Source organism: Homo sapiens, chromosome 3, assembly GCF_000001405.40.
Source record: "Homo sapiens chromosome 3, GRCh38.p14 Primary Assembly".
Taxonomy (NCBI): Eukaryota; Metazoa; Chordata; class Mammalia; order Primates; family Hominidae; genus Homo; species Homo sapiens.
Genome location: NC_000003.12, coordinates 59,010,310 through 59,029,310, shown reverse-complemented (window position 1 = coordinate 59,029,310; position 19,001 = coordinate 59,010,310). Strand labels below are relative to the sequence as shown.

General features: G+C 36.4%; 1 protein-coding gene and 1 long non-coding RNA gene across 29 annotated transcripts in view; one reads left to right on the top strand and one right to left on the bottom strand.

The window, feature by feature from the left end:
- The window catches only part of CFAP20DC (CFAP20 domain containing), a 333,853-nt gene that overhangs the window by 20,715 nt on the left and 294,137 nt on the right, over positions 1-19,001 (top strand). The window lies entirely within an intron of this gene.
- Positions 10,218-19,001, bottom strand: part of CFAP20DC-AS1 (CFAP20DC antisense RNA 1) — a 194,623-nt gene continuing 185,839 nt past the window's right edge. The window contains exon 3 of the long non-coding RNA NR_110820.1: positions 10,218-12,104. This is a non-coding gene — a long non-coding RNA (CFAP20DC antisense RNA 1). The remainder of the gene's footprint in view (positions 12,105-19,001) is intronic.

Below are 19,001 nucleotides of genomic sequence, written 5' to 3'. Positions count from 1 at the left end.
ATATGTTTATTTAATTATGTGTCTTTTTGGGTGGACTTCAAGTTTCATGAAGACATGGAGCCTGTTCTATTCAGCTTGATATCCCAGCGCCCAGCACAAGGCATGACACGTAATAGGCTCTGAAATACGGACATACGGGCGGAAGGATGGGTGGACTAATGAATGAAGGGAGAAGCAGCACCCAGTCTCTGTTCTCAGAGGTTACTCTGTGAGTGAAAGATCCATTTAAAAGGAAATCTAAATATATCTTGATGAATGTTATGATAACATAAGAGCAAGATCAGTGGGGAACATATGAAGTATTAGGGGGAACTAAGATTATAGGCTGGGAACTGGACAGATCTGTAGGCAAATTCTGCTTTACCTCTGTGGGACTTTGGTCAAATTACTTAACCTGCCTCACCTTATGGGGTGAGAGTAATAATACTTACCTCACAGGTCTGTCATAAGCATTAAATGAGAAAGCTAATGTAAAGTAATAATAATGGCTAACATTAAGCACTTATGACATCAGCATTGTTCTAAGCACTTTGTTATAGCTCAATTAATCCTCAGAATTAGCCTGGATAGTAGGCATAATTATTACCTCTGTTTTATTATTTGAGGGAACTGAAACCTAGAAAGGATAAGGAACTTGCCAGCTACTAACTCTTAGAGCTAAGATTCAAACATGTAGCCTGAATCTAGAACCTGTGCTCTCTACTCCCTTGCCACGCTGCCTTACTTGTAAATATTGTTATTTTTCTATTTGACTATACATATATGCATAAGTAGTAGATATATAGTAAATATTTTATTTGAATTTTAATATAAGTTGAAAGAGCTAAGCCTTTTATATCTTCTCAAGAGGCTTCTCATAAGACAGTTTTGTCTGTAGAGTTTCAGGAAGGAAAGGTCTTTCTTTCATGCTGAGATATTTCTATCTTTACCTTTATAAGAGCTAAATGCCTGCGAATTAAAGGAAGGACTTTACTGAAATCTTTATTTTGTTTTAGCATTTTGCATCCCAAATGTGATGAATTCATTTTAGACTTTTTTAAATGAAAACTAAGAAACAACTTTAACTCTTCTTTATTGATTCCTCTTTTTTCTTTAAGATCAAAAATTGTATTATTCAGGATCATATGCCTGTGGATAAGGTTGTTTCAGAACTTCATGACCTGACCAGCAATTATCTAAGCACATTACATTTTGCATGTGGAGCAAAGGGAGTGTTTACTGTACTAACACATAGAATGATGAGCAGTGAAGTAACAGAATTCTCTCATTTTCAGGGTCGAGGTGTCAACCCACAAAAGACCTACTTGCTTTTTACAAAAATCATCTTGACTTGCTTATTTCATAATATTAGTTGCAGTTTTCTTTTCCAAAATATTTTAGTGTAACTGTGTCTAATGGTTTCACTTGAAGGTAAAACAACAGGTTTTAACATTTATTTTATTTTTGGTACCTTCCAAACTGCATCATCAAGGCATTGGGAGGCCCGTGGCTTCCCTGTGTGGTTTGCTAGGTGTTTCAGAGCCTGGGGGCAGACATCTGGTGCACAGGAGGAGCACTACAAACATGAGCTCTTAGAAAAGAAGCAACTGCATCTTGAAATAGAAGTTCATTTTCCCTTATTTGATGCTGCCAATCACACTAAATGATTTTGGGATATTATATTTTTGACAGGAATTGTATTCATCTTCTGAATATTGTTGAGCTGCATTAATTCCTTTTTCTATCCTGATTTTGTCATTATCTCAATGAATTTTGATAGACATTTTGTACTGTTGTGCCTCTAGTGAACTGATGTTATTTTTCTCATTTTCATGCAGCTCAGCAAGTGCTTTTTCAATAAATGGGTTGAAAACACTGAGACCCTCTGGTGTGCATCATGTGCTGTTTGGAGAGGTTAGGATTCTTAGCCCTTGGGTCATGGAGAATATTATTGCTATGTACAAGCTTTCATGTGTTGAGCCCTTAGCTGTTTGAAGTACTACTTCCATTTGGAATCTGATAAAGGTTGAAAGCAAAAGTTAAATTCTTTAAAAAAGAAAAAAAACCCTGAAAGTGTACCTCATCCTTACAAATTTTAACTGATCCTTTGTGATCCTTGCATAGCAGTATTCTGAATTTGAAATTGTATCTGAATGGAGTTTGATGATTTTAACCTGGAATTCAATACAGAATTTATGATGCTCATTCCAGAGTTTTTGTCTTTTCCTTTTGCTCTGCTTCCTAGTTGTGTGGCTGTGGACTCAACACTTTAATTTGGTGTTTCCGTTTCCTCACAGTAAATGGTAATGCTAACTCTTTTATTTTAATGGCTGGAGTTAATTGAAGACATTGGTCTTTTTCTAAGAATTTTACGGAGTTTAGGTCCACGTAGACCTCAAAGCTTCCTTTTTCATTTCTATAATATGGAAAATTGGACATGCTTCCAAACAAAGCTTTAGCCTCAAGCCAATTTAATGAAAGTTACTCTTATGTTATTTTTTCCGTACTGTTACTAGTGAGCTAGACAGCGGTCAGAAAATAAATCTAATAGAAGTTTCAGAGTCTTCTACCCTATTGAATTTTGCTCCTACCTTTCCTTCTTCAGTGACGTTAGAGACAGTAGGCTCCTTTGAAACTTTAAACTAAGTAAAGTGAATATGGCCTCACAGCTGCAGACCTGATCTTTTCATATGTCATCGGTCTTCCTCAGCCTCTTTAAAGCCACTGGAGTTGAGAGCATACCTAAATTTGATATCTTTAGGTCACGATGACATTAGTGACAGCTTTTGAGATTGTATCCATGTAACTATGCACAACTCTTCCTGTGGAAAATTTGCTTTCTTATCTTTTTGGTCATTCATTGCCTTCCTTTAAAGAAAATAGTGGTTGCTTTGTAGCTTTTTAAGTTATTTGTAAAAGAGATGTTAACCAAATGCAAAGAATTATTATGTTATCCAGTGAAATCTTTTATGTCACCAAGGGAATACATCTCTAAACTATGTGTTGAGAACTAGACAACAATGGCCAGTAGCAGCTCTTTTTTAAACTAGAAGTATTGTACACTAAAGTGGTAATAACATTTCATTAATATTTTGAACGCATCTCGTGGCTAATTTCAATTTCTATTTTTTCTTTTTAAAAAAATCAGTATTTAAACCTCATTATTTTAATTATGTCAAATTAAATGTACTTGCATAATCAGTATATTTTGTTACACGCATTAGTGAAGAGAGCACTTTAAGATACTTTGCATACTGACTTTCTTAATATATTAAATTTGCATGCCTTAAAATAGGTTTTATGTGGAAGTTTTTGATAACATATGTGGTAGGTATATAAATCAGCTGCATATCCTTTATCTATTAAACATATGTTTATGAAAAGTTTTTTTTTCCTGTTTCTTAGTTTGGTTCATTTTACTTTTCTAAATTATTTTTACAATATTCTTTAAACAAACTAGATGCATGTTCAAAGCTAAAAGAAAAGAAAAGAAAAAATGCACATATACAAATATTTGGAAGTGTTTTTAGTATGTAAAACAAAATAATAAAAGGCCATACATTTGTTAAACCACTGTGCAGTTAAATGATTGCCATATCAATTATCAGGGCACAAGTCAGGGTCCTGTGATGGGACAGATTATAGACTAGGGAGTTACTGGCTCTACCACTTATTAGCATGGTGACCTGGGACAAGTTTCTGAACACCTTTGTATGTCAAAGCCTCATCTGTACAATGGGGCTGATATTATATGTGTTTTTTGGGTAGTTAAGAGGGTTAAATTCAATAATGCCAAATTCTAAGTGCACAGTATATTTTAATTTATAAGTTTTATATTCTTTAAATATAGATAAGAGTACATTGCTGTTTAATTTTTAAATTGTTCTTGTGAAACATTTCGAGACAAATTGGGCATGTCTGCTTTCCTTGTGAAATTTTCATGCTACTTGTCCCTAAAGACAGATGGAGCCTGTCTACTTTCATGCTACTTGTCCCTAAAGACAGATGCAGCTTTTCCTTGGGAGCCTCCTTGACTATTGACTTATGCAAGTTCTCTATCTGGAAAGAAATGATGGGCATAAACATGAAGAAAAAAGTGATTGCTGTTGTTTTGGTATGGATGCTAGTTATTTATTTAAAAGACAACTGCAAGAAGTCCTGGCATCAGAGTTCTGGTATGAAGGGAGTTACAGGTGACCAGACCAAAGTAGAACCATAGATAGAAATGTTCAACTGTGAAGAAGCAGGACCTGGGAAAAACAGATATAACAGATAGACTTCCAATGAATTAAGGCATAATAAACAGGGCTTTCTCATTTTCCACTGCCCCTGTTTGCCTTCACTAACAGTGATGATTGAAGACAATTCACAGCAAATCACAGATCCTCCAAATGCACTCCCTTTTTTGATATGGCAGTGCCAAGTAGATATGTTTCTTTGATCCCATGAGATGTAGCTCACTGTTTTTTTCCTTTGGTCAAGAGAAATGTCTCCTCTGGTTTGGTTCTTCTTCCCTTTCACTGTATTTCATTTGTATTCTGGTAGTTAATTAAATTTATTGTTAGCAATTCAAGTATATCATGGAATCTTATGAAGTCATTTGGCATTTGGCTTTGATAAGTTGGGTAGTTGTAAATACAAGAAGAATCCCCCTTTGGGAAGGGCTGGTGTCTCTAGGGTTCCTCATTTCTGTATTTTTTTTTCTCATAAATTGTGAAGTTTCTGATTTGGATGTAAAAATATCTCAGACTCTTTGGATTCATAGAAATGACTGATAGAATGGCATACATGTAGTAAATTACAAACATATCTTACAATAGCACTTACACATGTCTGTTAATGGCATTTATTACATAATGGTCTTATTATTTAGACATCTCAACAACCAACTCTCCACCTCCAAATAGACCATGAGATCTTGAGGGGCCAGAGCAATTAGATCCCAATGAGGCTACTGTTGAACTTTCCATTTCTAAGCCCCATTTGTAAAAGACATTGCCCAGATATTACAATAGACATCAGTAGATTTCATTGGACTTTAGATTGGTTACAGTATAGTACCTGCCATGGTAGTACATGATCAGTAAATGTTAATTTCCTTCTTTCAGTAGTTTTCTAATTCTTTGCATTATTAGACTCCCTTTAATTTGGCTTCAGTTTGTTCTGTGGTATACTTCTTTTGGGAGACAGAATGAAGATATGGGTGGCCTAAAATTGGCAAGGTAGTAATACATTTAGAATTTCCATTCATAGAAAAGGAGTTTTGGAGCTAGCTGGAGTTAGATAATTAAAAATCATCCAATCCATTGCTTTTTAGACACTTCTGAATCCCCTCTGTTACTTCAAACAAAAGAATTCATCCTCCCTTTTTTCAATCTTATGTACATTTTGGGATGAAAATGTTTATATGTTTTACGTAAATAGAGGATGCCATTGCTCCCTCATAAGGTTGAAATCCACTGATATGGTTCAACCTTCTTTTTAAAATTGGGTAATAATACAAAGTCAAATAAAGCTGATGTTGCAGTTTTCAACCACATTTAAATTCTGTGTTTCGAGGTACTCTAACATTTGTTTTTACTTTTTAAATGATCAGTATTTGAATTTTAAGTTTTAGATATTGGTCTTAGCCCAAGTCCGTAGGAAAAAAATTAGGATTTCCTGCAGCCCAAGCTGCTTTATCCAGTTGCCCCACAAAGTTGGTGGTCACTGGCACCCTAGGCTTCTGGTTCTGATCTCAGGCACCTCTCTCTCCATAATTCATTCCACTCCTCCTCCTTGCCATAGCCACCTTGGTTGCTGAGCACCTTACAAGCTCTCAGCTTTTGGCTCAAGTTTTTCATCCAACCTAATCCCATCTCTCCACTTTTTGAACCCTAATCGTTCTTTAAGGTCAAACTCAAATGCATTATCTTTCATAAATACTTCCCATATCCTCCAGTTGTAGTAACATCTCTGTTTCCTCGGTGTTCTCACAATTGTGTACATGATTACTTTGAGGGCAGGGACTACATCTTGTCATCAGTATAATCCGTACAGCACCTAGAAGAATTCTCTGTGCATGGTTGGTCTTCAGTAGTGCTTGTTATTTTGTATTGTACTGAAATGTGTTGATATACTGTTGGTGTTGTTCTTTGATTAGAAAAAGACAGGAAAACAAACAAAAAAAAAAAACAAGAGAGTAGAAAGCAGGTGAACAGGACTAAGAAAGTGTTCTGCTTTCCTTTTCTCAACTCTTAGTTCCTGGAATACTAATAACTGGGCCTTAATTTAACCTTTTAATTTGCTCTGCCATGTATGAAGTGCATTTCTCTCCACCACACCTCTACTGGCAGTATGGTAACTATATTAAAGAATATGTAAAGGCAGGAGAATTTAGGTAATGAGTGAATTTTCTTGAAATGGTCATGTATTTCTTGAAATATATTCAAGTAAATGTTTTCAAGGCCATACTAAAGCTATGGAACACCACAGTTGGCTCTTAGATAAAAACTCTGAGTTTGAATATAAGCCTATAATAGAACTCCCCAAGGACAACTTTAATAAAATCAAGTCATCTGCCCTTGTTTATTAGAACACATTAGTGATCTTTGTTTTATGTCATTTCTTATTTAAAATATATTATAATAAACTATTTCAAACAATGACAGTAATGTGAAATTCTCAGTATAGTAGGTGGTTGGTTGCATTTATTAGCAGTAAGTAGGAACAACCTTTCTGTTTCATGTACATAGACATTACCATTCTCTTTTTTTTAAGGTTAAATGCCATTGATCTATAACTTGGAAAGTAAACTATTTCTTAGCATTATTTAAAACCATATATGATTATTGATATGCTACAAGCAAGGATTTGAAATAAATATACAAATTCACTGTATTTAGAAACTAATGTGTTAGCATAAACTTTTAAAAAGCTTTGGCAGCTCAATTCTCTATTATAGAGCATCTACAAATCTTATCCAATTCCCTGTTTTTTTTTAGGAAAAATCCTGAAGCCCAGAAAAGGGGTATGACATCTCTCAGGATGCAGTTTCTTAGTGGCAAAACGAGGACTAAAGCTCTGGACTTCTTACTCTCTAGCCTCTATTCTTTATATCTTTGCTGCCTTTTAGTGCTTGAGTTGCAAAAAGGTGAACATGTAATTATGATTTCATAATCATGATTTCTGACACTTTTAAAAAATGAATTTATTTCTGCAAATACTTTGGACTCTCAAATGCAGAAGGTCAGTTCTGTTATGATACCTCAGGTTTCTACTTCTCTCCCATTCCTCCCCTTCAAAAATCAACAGAAATAAGTCAGATTCTTTGCTTGGGTCAGGATTAGCAAGGCAAAAAACAAAGCAACTTATTTTAATGATCATTTGATTGTTAAGGTCAGAAATCTATTTATATTATTTCAAGTAAAAAGATATGTACTCGAAGAACATGGAGAGATCTTAAGGAACCCAACTGCAAAAGTTGGTCCAGCCCTCGTGGGAGGTGAGAGTTGTCAACAGGTCTCTCTCTCTCTCTGTCTCTCTCTTCCCCGCAGCTACTCTCATCTCTGATTTTGTTTGTAAGTCTGCTGCTCAGTTCTTCAGTTTCGTTCTGTATACCAGCTTTTTCTGATTGCTTACCATTGTGCATATGGACAATAATGGCTGCCAGTACATCACTCTATCTCATCATTGTGTGACCAGGTTCAATCTGTGTAGCTGCTGGTTCAGAGATTTGAAATAATAATCAGGATTGGTCCTTGGCCAATCATTGGCTTTAAGCTAAGTGCTCTAAAGCTGGTTTCAATTTTAGAGGTTGTAAGCTGGAGGAGATTCCCTAAGAAGGCAGTGTAGGCAGGGTGGGCAGATGGACTGATACACCCACTCCACTGCTCTTTAATTATAGACACTTGACAGTCACCTTAGAACTTATTTTTCTCTCAGTCACCTGCCAGTGACTTCTACAGATATTCCTGAGCCCCTCTACTGGCATTCATGGGTAAATGGTTGCTGAAATTTTTCGTTGTAGTCAGATCTATTATACTTCGATGCCACTCTTGTCCTAGGTCATGTACTTTATTTACCTGGAATCCTAAGGTTGTCTTAATGATACTATCTAAATTGTCTTAATTTAGATGCACTGTGCAGTCATTTAAGCACTAAGCTACAGTTCTTTAGTGTTTCTCTAGCTAAATAATAACACTGATTAGAATGGTTGGGTTTATTGAACATCTATAATACATTAGGCCAAGGAACCTGGACTGTTTCCATCTTCCATCTAGGGCCTTAGAGTCCTCTACTGGATCCTCTATATCTTGTCAGCAAGCAAAAGAAGAGAGAGCCTGGAGGAACACATGGGAAGATGTTTGGGGTCACAAATATAAAGCTGTATTTGCCAGGTTTGCTAAGATGGTTTACAAAATTTCATACATAGCTGTCTCACATTACCTGAGAGCTACAGGTAGGATGAAGCTCTGCTTTATCTATAGGGTGACTATGTATCTGGTCTGGGTCTTCTCGTTCCAGAATGTGGATAGAACAAACAGCCCCTATTTGGGACATACTGTCCATAAGGTGAGAGCAGAAGAGCAAGAGTCTCATCAGAACCACACAATTGAGTTTAAAGCTTCTCCTCATATATGTGTGGCACATGTTACTTCTACTTGCATTCATTGGCCAGCCCAGTTAACATGGCCAAGCCTAGAATCAACAGGGCAGAGATGTATTCAATCTCCTACGTAAAAGGGAGATAGCCAATAATTGTGAACAGTGATAACCTACTATAAACACAGACACACACACACACACATTATTTCATGCAATTATCACAGCACTGTTAAAAGTGGATATTACCACTATTACACAATTTATTAACTTAACAAATATATATGAGCACCTATTGTGTTCTAGATCCTGTGGCTTTTGAGTAAACAAGAGTCAAGTGAGGACCCTCCTATCCTTGTCTCTTGTGCATTGGTAATACGGGTTTATTTTATTTAAAATGTTATGTCTATAAGATATACTCATACTTTATTGTAAAACAAACAGAATTCTCAACTCTTTGGGATCAGGATCCCTCCACACTCTTAATAAGCATTGAGAGCCCAAAAGAGCTTTTCTTTATGTGGGTTGTAGCTCAATATTTACCATGTTGGAAATTAACACTGAGTGATTTAAAACGTATTTATTATTTAGAAATAATAATAAATCCATGTCATGTTAGCATAAATACCTATAAAAACATATACATAAAATATCTATGTTTTCCAAAATTATACTTACAAAAATAATTTAGTGAAGAGTGGCATTATTTTATATTTTTGCAAATCTTTTTAATCTCTGGCTAAATATTATAGAAGACAGGTAGATTTTCCTGTCTGCCTCTAATTCAATCTGTTGTGATATAATACATCATGTTACCTTTTAAAAAACTCTACTATATGCTGTGAGACAGTGAGAGTGAAAAACAAATAACATGTTAGTATTGTTATGAAAATGGTTTTGACTTCACTGAGTTCCTGAAGGGATCTTGCAGACCCTTAGCTATCCCCAAACTACCCTTTGAGAATCAAGAATCCCTTAACCACATTTTGAAAACTGCTATCTTAAAGTATACACCAAAAGCAAATACATGACATCCTCAGTACATTTTGAAAGTGTCACCATTCTGCTAATCTGTTTTATAAATTAGGTAGTTATATCAGTCAGGTGGGCTAACTGCTCTAACAGATAATCCCCAAATCCCAGTGGCTTACTTAACACAGTAAAGCTTCATTTCTTGTTCATATTACAATTCATTGCAGGCCAACGATAGGAGCTCTGTCCTGCAGGGTCATTTAGGGGGACCTAGGCTGCTTTCATCTTCTAATCTAGGGCTGCATAGTCTTCTGCTGGATCTTCCACATCCCTCAACAAACAAGGGAAGAGAGAGCCTGGAGAATCACTTGGGAGGATGTTTGGGATCATGTTCCCCTGGCCAGAACTCGTGCGTCACCTGTAACAGCATTGCGGGCTAGGAAATGTAGTCTGGTTGTATGCTCAGGAGAAAAGGAAACAACCAGGCTTAGCCAAGACACAACTGCCTCCACCAGAATAACGAATTTATTCTGATTATTCTTGTTCTATACATAAATAAGTTAAAACTTGATTATTTGTTTTCAGCTTTTTCGCTCTTACAAAACTTAAGTGGCATGCAGTGTAAAATAACACTTATGGTTTGAGACAAGTTATAGGGTCATGCAATCTAAAGTTAATTTTTTAAAAAACTTTTTATTTTGAAGTAATTTCAAACTTAAAGAAAAGTTACAAAAATAGTACAAAGAACTACCATATACCTTTCACGCATATTCACCAATTATTAACATTTTGCCACATTTGCCTTTACAGTTTTTCTGTATGTGTGTGATTGTGTGTGTGTGTGTATACACATTTTTTTCCTCAAGCTATTTGAGAGTATGTTGCACACTTCATACTCCTTTATTAAACACTTCAGTGTATATTTACTAAGGACAAAGACGTTCACTACATGACCACAGTACAATTTTCAAAACCATTTAACATTGATGCAGTACTACTATCTATGATATAGACATACTGTCCTTCATAGCAATTATGTTTTTGATCCAGAATTACACACTACCTTTAGTTTTCACTTGTCTCCATTAATTTGTAATGTTTCCTCAGCCTTTCTGTGTCTTTCACATCAGTGACACTGCTGAAAAGTACAGGTCAGTTATTTTGTAGAATGCCCCTTAATTGAGTTTGTCTGATGTTTTCTTAGGATTAGATTCATGTTATGCATCTTTGGTGAAATGTACTATAAAGTGATGTTGTGTCCTTCTCAGTGCAGTTTATCAGGAGGCTTATGATGTTTACAGCTGATGTTAACTTCAATCACTTGGTTAAGGTGGTCTCTACCAGGTTTTCTCATAGTAAAGTTACTATGTTTTTACTTTAATATTAGTTGAGTCATTTGTGGGGATATAATTTGAGACTTTATAAATATCTTCTTCCTCATTAAGCTCTCATTCACCAGTTTAGCATGATGATTCTTGCCTGAACTAATTATTACTGTAATGGTTACAAAATAAAGTGGAATTTTAAAGTTATTTTCTAGTAACACATGGAAGAACCAAGTGTGGTAGACATTTATTAGTTGTCTACCTAGCATAGTTTGCCACATGTTTCTCCTCCAAAAATTATCTGATCTTTGTTTGGGTATCTCCCCTGGCCAGTGCAGCCTATGTGTGTCTAGTAAAATGGATCACACTCTAGCCCCTGGAGTGGGCTTTGATTGATAGGTCAATTAGTGCATTTCATTTATTTAGCCACATTATTCTTTTAGGAATGGGAATCTGACCTATGCTGGGCCAATTGAGTGACTTTTATGACTCTTGTTTGGGATGCTAGACTGGGCTGCACTCTGTTTGTAGCTGGCACCCGTCCTGTGACCATGAGGACAGAGCTGACACCAGATGGCAGAAAGGGAGAAACAAAGAAATTGGGTCATTGATGACAGCTTTGAGCTGCCGAATCAATCATTCCTGAAGCCTGCCCTACCTCTGTGGTTTCCAATAATGTGAGCATTCCATTTAGGTGAACTAGCTCAAGTTGGATTTTCTATTAACTTTTGACATAAAAGAGTCCTAACTGATACTCTCACAAGTAAACAGTAATAGCTGTTTAACCTGGAATTTAAAAAATTGTAAGGAGGATGTATGAGACTTTTCTGGTATCCAACAACAACCAAAAAATGGATGTAGGGTTTTTTGTTTTGTTTGTTTCTCCTCAGCTCGGTGATGGAACCATGTCATAGGTCACTAAAGATTACAATATCAGAATCAGCAGTGTATATTCCATTTGCCAAAAGGCACTTGAGTTAATTTTTAGCAGTAAAGTTGCGAAAGTTGTGGGGTGGGACTAGTGTCATTTGGACTCATTTCTGTTCACCACATCAACTGGAGTGAATTAAAGCACAGCGGGAGCTTCAATCGCAAGTTTTTTGGGATGTCACGGGAAGCTCAAGGGGCAGTGATGCAGCTGGGCATGGAAGCCAGTACTAGTTCCCCTTAAGCACTCTCCATCTTTCATCTCAGGTTTTTCTGTGTTTTGCTTCATTTCTAGTCCACCAGGCAATTTCAAAATTCCTAGAGGGAGAATATGATTGTGTTAGTTTGGATCAGGCATTTACCCCTATTCAGTTCAGTTGTGCTCATTAGTGTAAACATGGTTTTAGAAGACCTAGCCCTGTGGGTAAAGAGAAGATTTCAGAGGGTAAGTCAGGAAGAGACTCCAGAGTTGGCTACTAGAGAGACATTTGTGGATGCCACAGCAGCTGAGGGCATAATTGTAAATAGGAAACATTGGTTTGTGATGCCTTTCTTCTTCCCTTTCAGGACCCCTCTCTTCATCATTAGCCTGTGTTTCTCTCATTTGCATTCTTGCTAAGATGCTAACTAATAAGATCTTAAGAATTGGATTATAAGCACTTCCAGGATGTTTTCTGTTGTTGTTTTATTAAGGCAGTAGTTCTTAAAGTGTAGTTCCTGCATGAGCAACATTGGCAACCTTGGAACTTGTTAGAACTCCAGATTCTCAGGCCCCACCCCAGACCTACTGAGAGAAACTCTGGAGATGACCCAGCAATCTGTGGGTTAAAAAACTGTTTTTAAACCTTTTTAGTTAACAAGTAACAATTGTACATACCTATGGGATACAGATTCCATATACATGTATTTCAATGTGTATATACAATGTGTAATGATTACAGTAATTAACACTCATCACCTCATTTATTATTTCTTTGTATAATAAACATTCACAATCCTCTCTTCTAGCTTTTTTAAAATATACAATAAATTACAATTAATTGTCTTCACCCTACAGTGCCACAAAACACCAAAACTCATTTCTCCTATCTAGCTGTAGTTTTGTATCTGTTAACCAACTGCTCCCCATACCCTTCCCATCCTCTCATACCCAAAATTCTACTCTCTGTTTCCATGAGCTCAGATTTTTTGTTGGTCCTCACATATGAGTGACAACATCTTTCTGTTGTCACTTAGTTCACTTAACATAATGTCTGACTTAGTTCACTTAACATAATATCCTCCAGCCTCATCCATGTTGCTGCCAATGACAGGATTTCATCCCTTTTATGGCTGGATAGTATTCCATTGTGTATATATACCACATTTTCTTTATTCATTCATTCATTGATGGACACTTAAGTTGATTCCATATCTTAGCTATCTCTCAGCAATCCATATTTTTAGCAGGTCATTCAGGTGATTCTGATACACTTGAAGTTTAAGAACCACTCAGGTAGGGAATTCCCAAAAACCCACAAGGTAGCCAGAACCCAGGATCTGGCTTCTTCCCAGCATTTTGTCCCAGCCTGGGCATCCATTGGTACTGCTTAGATATGGAAATGTGGCCATATGTTCCTCGCCCATTGCTTCAAAAGAGAATCCCAACCTCAGGCTTCTAAAGAGTAAAACAGACTTAACAGCAGAAAGGTTGTTGTCCCCAGCTCTACAGCCTCCATCTCTTTTGTTTAGCCTTGGGAACAGACCACCATGTGTCTGGCATTTTTTAGAAATTTGCCATCTTATGGAAAGAAGTCTGGATGTCTGTGAGGCCTCGTTCTAAGACTGTATTATGTACTTTTATGAAAGACATTCAGGAATGCAACTAATTCCTAAAGTGATGTAAATGTGAATAAACTAGAGGATTAGATATGCTGTTTCTAGGGATCTATAGCCCTTCTTCCTCCTCCACCCTCCAACCCTCCTCCTTCCTCTTTCCTTCTTTTCCTCTTCCTTTTTCTTTCTCCCCTTTTCTGCCATTTTGTTTCTTCTTTCTCTTCCTTTTCTCCCTCATCCTTTTCCCTCTTTCTCTTGTTTTTCTTCTTTGTCCTCTCTTCCCTTCCATCTATCTTTATTCTTGCCCTTTGCCTTTTACTTCTTTTATTCTTCTTCTTCCTAATTTTTCTTTTCCTTCTTCCTTTCCTTCTCATTTCTTATCACTCTCCAGCTGCTTCTCTTCCTTCTCTCACTTCTACTCCTGTGGGAGTAAACTTACTCAAGAAGAGAAAGTGGGTGCCTGAGGGCCACAGGAAATGGTAAATGCTAGTTCTATCATCCTGGCTGCTAACTACAGACATCTTTAGACACCCAAGGCACCTGCAGGATTATTCAGGGTCCAAGCCTGCCTCCTCCCGCACCTGTTCAGCAAGAACTCAACCTTAGGCTCTTCAGCCCTTAGTCCCTTCATTGTCACTACTCCATCCACATCCTAACCTCAGAAATGAGCTCGCAAAATGTTCTGTACTGGTAAATGTTTAACACTTGTCTCTGGGGTGGTAATGGAGTATTGAGGGTCCTGATGCTTACTTAGTACTTGCTAGTTTCTGTGGTGTAAATATTCCCACCATGGCTGCTTTCAAGCTACCAATCTGACATCACTGAATGTGGAGCTGGGAGGAGATGCTCACCACGGAGCCTCACAAACCAGTCAAGCATACTGCTAAGGAGTAGTACTACATATAGCCATGGTCCATATGTAGTACTACTGCCTTCCACCATTATGTAGTACTACCACCATATGTAGTACTACTGACTTCCACAATTAATGCAGATAATTGAGGGTTAGCCGTTAGTAAATAAATTACTCTCACTTCAAACATCAGATGTCTGTTAACTCCTTAACAGACTCATTTTTTGACAGCCATTGAGATAATTAAAGGCAGCAGCATATTATAATTACCACAACACTACCTTTTAGTTTGCTTAAATAAAATTTAACTGCAAGTACTGTCAGAAAAATTCAGGCTTTTCAACTGTTACCCTCTTTTTACTTGTGAGTCTGAGCTTGATATCCCTATGAATTGACAACACTATTTGGATTATAGATATCATAAAGTTTCAGTTAATATTTAGTTAAAAAGTAGAACATTATCCAGTCACCTTATCTTTTTTATTTGCATTCTACATCATCTCTGGTGGATTTTTATTATTTTTAAGTAGCTTCACATTATGTTTTATGATACATTTCTTCCTGCAACAGTTTTGCATACAGATGGAAATGTTGGAAATCTAGTTTAAGGTCGATCTTTTTTTCCCATTTTGTTATGTGATTGATCTGGTCAGTGAACAAGAAATTCTTCAAGGCCATCCATCACTCTAGGCAGCAGCTGAGCTAAACCTTCTAACTCACTGCTTGCAGTCAGTCATGCAAGATTTGGGTTATAAATATTGAATGTGCAAACAACTGTTTAAATTAGCTGTCCTATCTGTTTTATGCAATTTCAGTAGAAAAGCAAGCTGATATGTTGTTTAGTGGCAAGAAGTAGAAGACAGTGAATTCAGTATTATCCTTCCATACGTCATTGAATTCATCCTGTTGGCAAATATTTAAAATAGATCAAATTAATTCTTGTTCCCTGAAGTTAAATGAGAACTAAGGCAACTGAGCATGTAATTTATGTAGTTTTTTTGTTTTTTATATTCAAACAGTAGGAAGACTGTTAGTAATTGTGCATGTAGCCATCTGTCATAAATATGGTAGCCAATTGTTAAATGCTTAGTTCTGTGAATTTTGTTACCTCTTTGCAATAACAAAAATAGCTTAATATTTGGAAAATATTTGGTCAGGAAAGAAAATAGCAACTGGCTTATCCTACTATTCCTGGTAAGCATCTAGAATATTGAATATGTGCAGGTGTTAGTACTTCTGCTAGTTGGAGTTGTAACAAGTCTGCATACATTCACTGGTATTGATATATGTAATAGGTAAAATGCAAACAATTTGTAGTGACTCCCAAAAGCCTTTCTGTGTGTAATGAATTTAGGTAAACTTCCATAATTGCTATCTGTGTTTAAAATTTATTTTTCAATTATATGATGCTGGGAACATCCTTTCAAGTAGCAGACATGTATCTAAGCCTACATTAATAACATAAGTGAACTGCTTACCAGAGAGAAGAGTGTTCAGTAGCATGTGTCTCTTAGTAGTTGGATCACAATCTAACATAAAAGTTGGACAAGATTATAAGTTACTTCCTGTGACAAACGCTCCTCCATTTTTCTCTTCTTTCTTGAACAGAATTTTGGTCAGGACAGCAAAGAGCCCAGCTAAATAGACTCACCTTCCTAGAGCCCTTGTAGCTAGCCGTGGTCATGTAACCTAGCAATGATCGATGAAATGCAAGTGGAATTCTATGGCTGGGACTCCGAAGAGAGCATTTTAAAAGGGACAGACTCAGCTAATTTGCTCCTTTAGCCCTTTGTCTTTTGGTGTGTTGCTCTCTCCTCTGATACACTTCTTTTTATGATTTAATGTCTAAGTCTTCATGAAATTATGCGTTCTTTTAAAACAGTGTCTACTTTAGAATTATAAAATTAAACTTTTACTTATGTCCTTATGTAGAAATAAATTGAACCAGCCTTGCCATATTAATAAACCACATTACATACAAATGTAAGAACAGTATTGGTGAATAATTTTAGTGATAACAATCGCAACTGCAAGGAAAAAAAATAATTTTCTTAATCTCATCTCTCAAGTCTTATTTCTCTTTTTAATTTCTACTTCCTTTTTCTTTGATCAATTGCTATGTTTTCTTACCCTTCAAGTGCCTGTAGTCTGGTGGAAGAGGCCAATTTGTAAAAAATTATAATGCAGTTTTATAAGTTCTAGAAATACATGTCTAAAATGCAAATCTGATTTTATTATTTTCCTACTTAAAAGCCTTCCATGAGCTTTACTGTGGTATTGAAGGTCTTTTCATTCTGGCTCCAATAGCCTTGTCCAGTCTTCACTCCTTTCTTTCTCTCAGCATATTTCCTCAGCCTTACGCTGTCTAAAACCACTGGACTCTTGGTAGGATCCGGAAACTATCACATACTGTCATTGAAGGTCTTTTCATTCTGGCTCCAATAGCCTTGTCCAGTCTTCACTCCTTTCTTTCTCTCAGCATATTTCCTCAGCCTTATGCTGTCTAAAACCACTGGACTCTTGGTAGGATCCGGAAACTATCACATACTGTCATTCTTTCATATCCTTGTGTATCCTTTCACTTCTGTACCCTTTTTTTCATCTCCATCTGTGAAATCCCACTCATTCTTCAAAACTGACTTATCTTTAAGGCGTTCCGTGACTCTTCCAAGTTGAATTAATGACTACTTCATCTTCTGTGCTTCTCATAAAATTCTTTTTATACTTCTATGATATCATTTATTCAGTCAATTTATAGTTACAGGTCTGTCTTTCTTAATAGACTGTGAGTTCTATGAAGAGATAAGCTATGCTTTATTTCGAAGCGCCAGTGTCTTAGCAAGTGCCTGGAAAGGAGTAAATACTCAAGATTGTTGGTATGTTTTTATAACAAGTAAATAAATTTAAACTCTCTGCACCTTTCATTGAGTACTAGGATTAATTATTCATAATTAATTATTTACCTGTTCCTTAAATGTATCCCTGTGAAAGAAATGCTGCTGGTGATGAAATAATCTTCATCAATTACCTAACAAATAATTGTCCATTTGGGTCATATCTGCATCTGCTTTTACTGTAACCCATGACTATGGTTGTAATATCTCCTGTTTTATTTCTAATTGAGCTTATTTGGATCTTCTCTCTTCTTTTCTTGGTTAATCTCATTAATGGTCTGTCAATTTTATCTTTTCAAAGAGACTTATCTTTCGTATTTTTTTTGTTTCCATTTCGTTTAATTCTGCTCTGATCTTTGTTATTTCTTTTCTTCTGCTGAGTTTGGGTTTGATTTGTTCTTCTTTCTCTAGTTCCTTCCGCTGAGTTTGGGTTTGATTTGTTCTTGTTTTCTAGTTCCTTCTGCTGAGTTTGGGTTTGATTTGTTCTTGTTTCTCTAGTTCCTTGAGGTGTGACATATATTGTCTGTTGTTCTGTTGTGCTCTTTCAGACTTTTTTTTTTTTTTTGAGATGGAGCCTTGCTCTGTCACCCAGGCTGGAGTGTAGTGGTGCAATCTTGACTCACTTCAACCTCCACCTCCCAGGTTCAAGCAGTTCTCCTGCTTCAGCCTCCCGAGTAGCTGGGACTACAGGTATGCACCACTATGCCCAGCTAATTTTTGTATTTTTAGTAGAGACAGGGTTTCACCATGTTGGCCAGGCTGGTTTTGAGCTACTGACCTCAAGTGATTCTCCCGCCTTGGGCTTCCAGAGTGCTGGGATTACAGGCGTGAGCCACCATGCCTGGCCTCATTCAGACTTTTTGATGCAGGCATTTAATGCTGCGAACTTTTCTCTTAAGACCACTTTTGTTGTATCCCAGAGGTTTTGAGAAGTTGTGCCACTATTATAGTCCAGTTGAAAGAATTTTTTCATTTCCATCTTGATTTTATTGTTGACCCAAAGATCATTCTATAGCAGCTTATTTAATTTCCATTTATTTGTATCATTTTGAGGCTCCTTTTGGAGTTTAATTTCCAGTTTTATTCCACTGTGGTCTGAGAGGTTATTTAAAAAGATTGTGATTTTCTTAAATGTATTGAGACTTGTTTTTTGGCCTATTATATGGTGTTTCTTGGAGAATGTTCCATGTGCTGATGAGCAGAATGTATATCCTGCATTTGTTGGGTAAAATGTTCTGTAAATATCTGTGAAATCCATTTGTTCTAGAGTATAGTTTAAGTTCATTGTTTCTTTGTTGACTTTCTGTCTTGATGACCTGTCTAATGTTGTCAGTGGAGTATTAAAGTCCCCCATTATTATTGTGTTGTCATCTACCTCATTTCTTAGGCCTAGTAGTAATTGTTGTATGAATTTGGGAGCTTCAGTATTAGGTGCATATATATTTAGGATTGTGATATTTTCCTGTTGGACTAATCCTTTTATCATTATGTAATATCCCTTATTGCCTTTTTTTACTGTTGTTGCTTTAGAGTCTGTTTTGTCTGATAAAAGAATAGCTACTTCTGCTTGCTTTTGGTTTCCATTTACATGGAATATCTCTTTCCACACCTTTACCCAAAGTTTATGTGAGTCCTTATGTGTTAGGTAAGTCT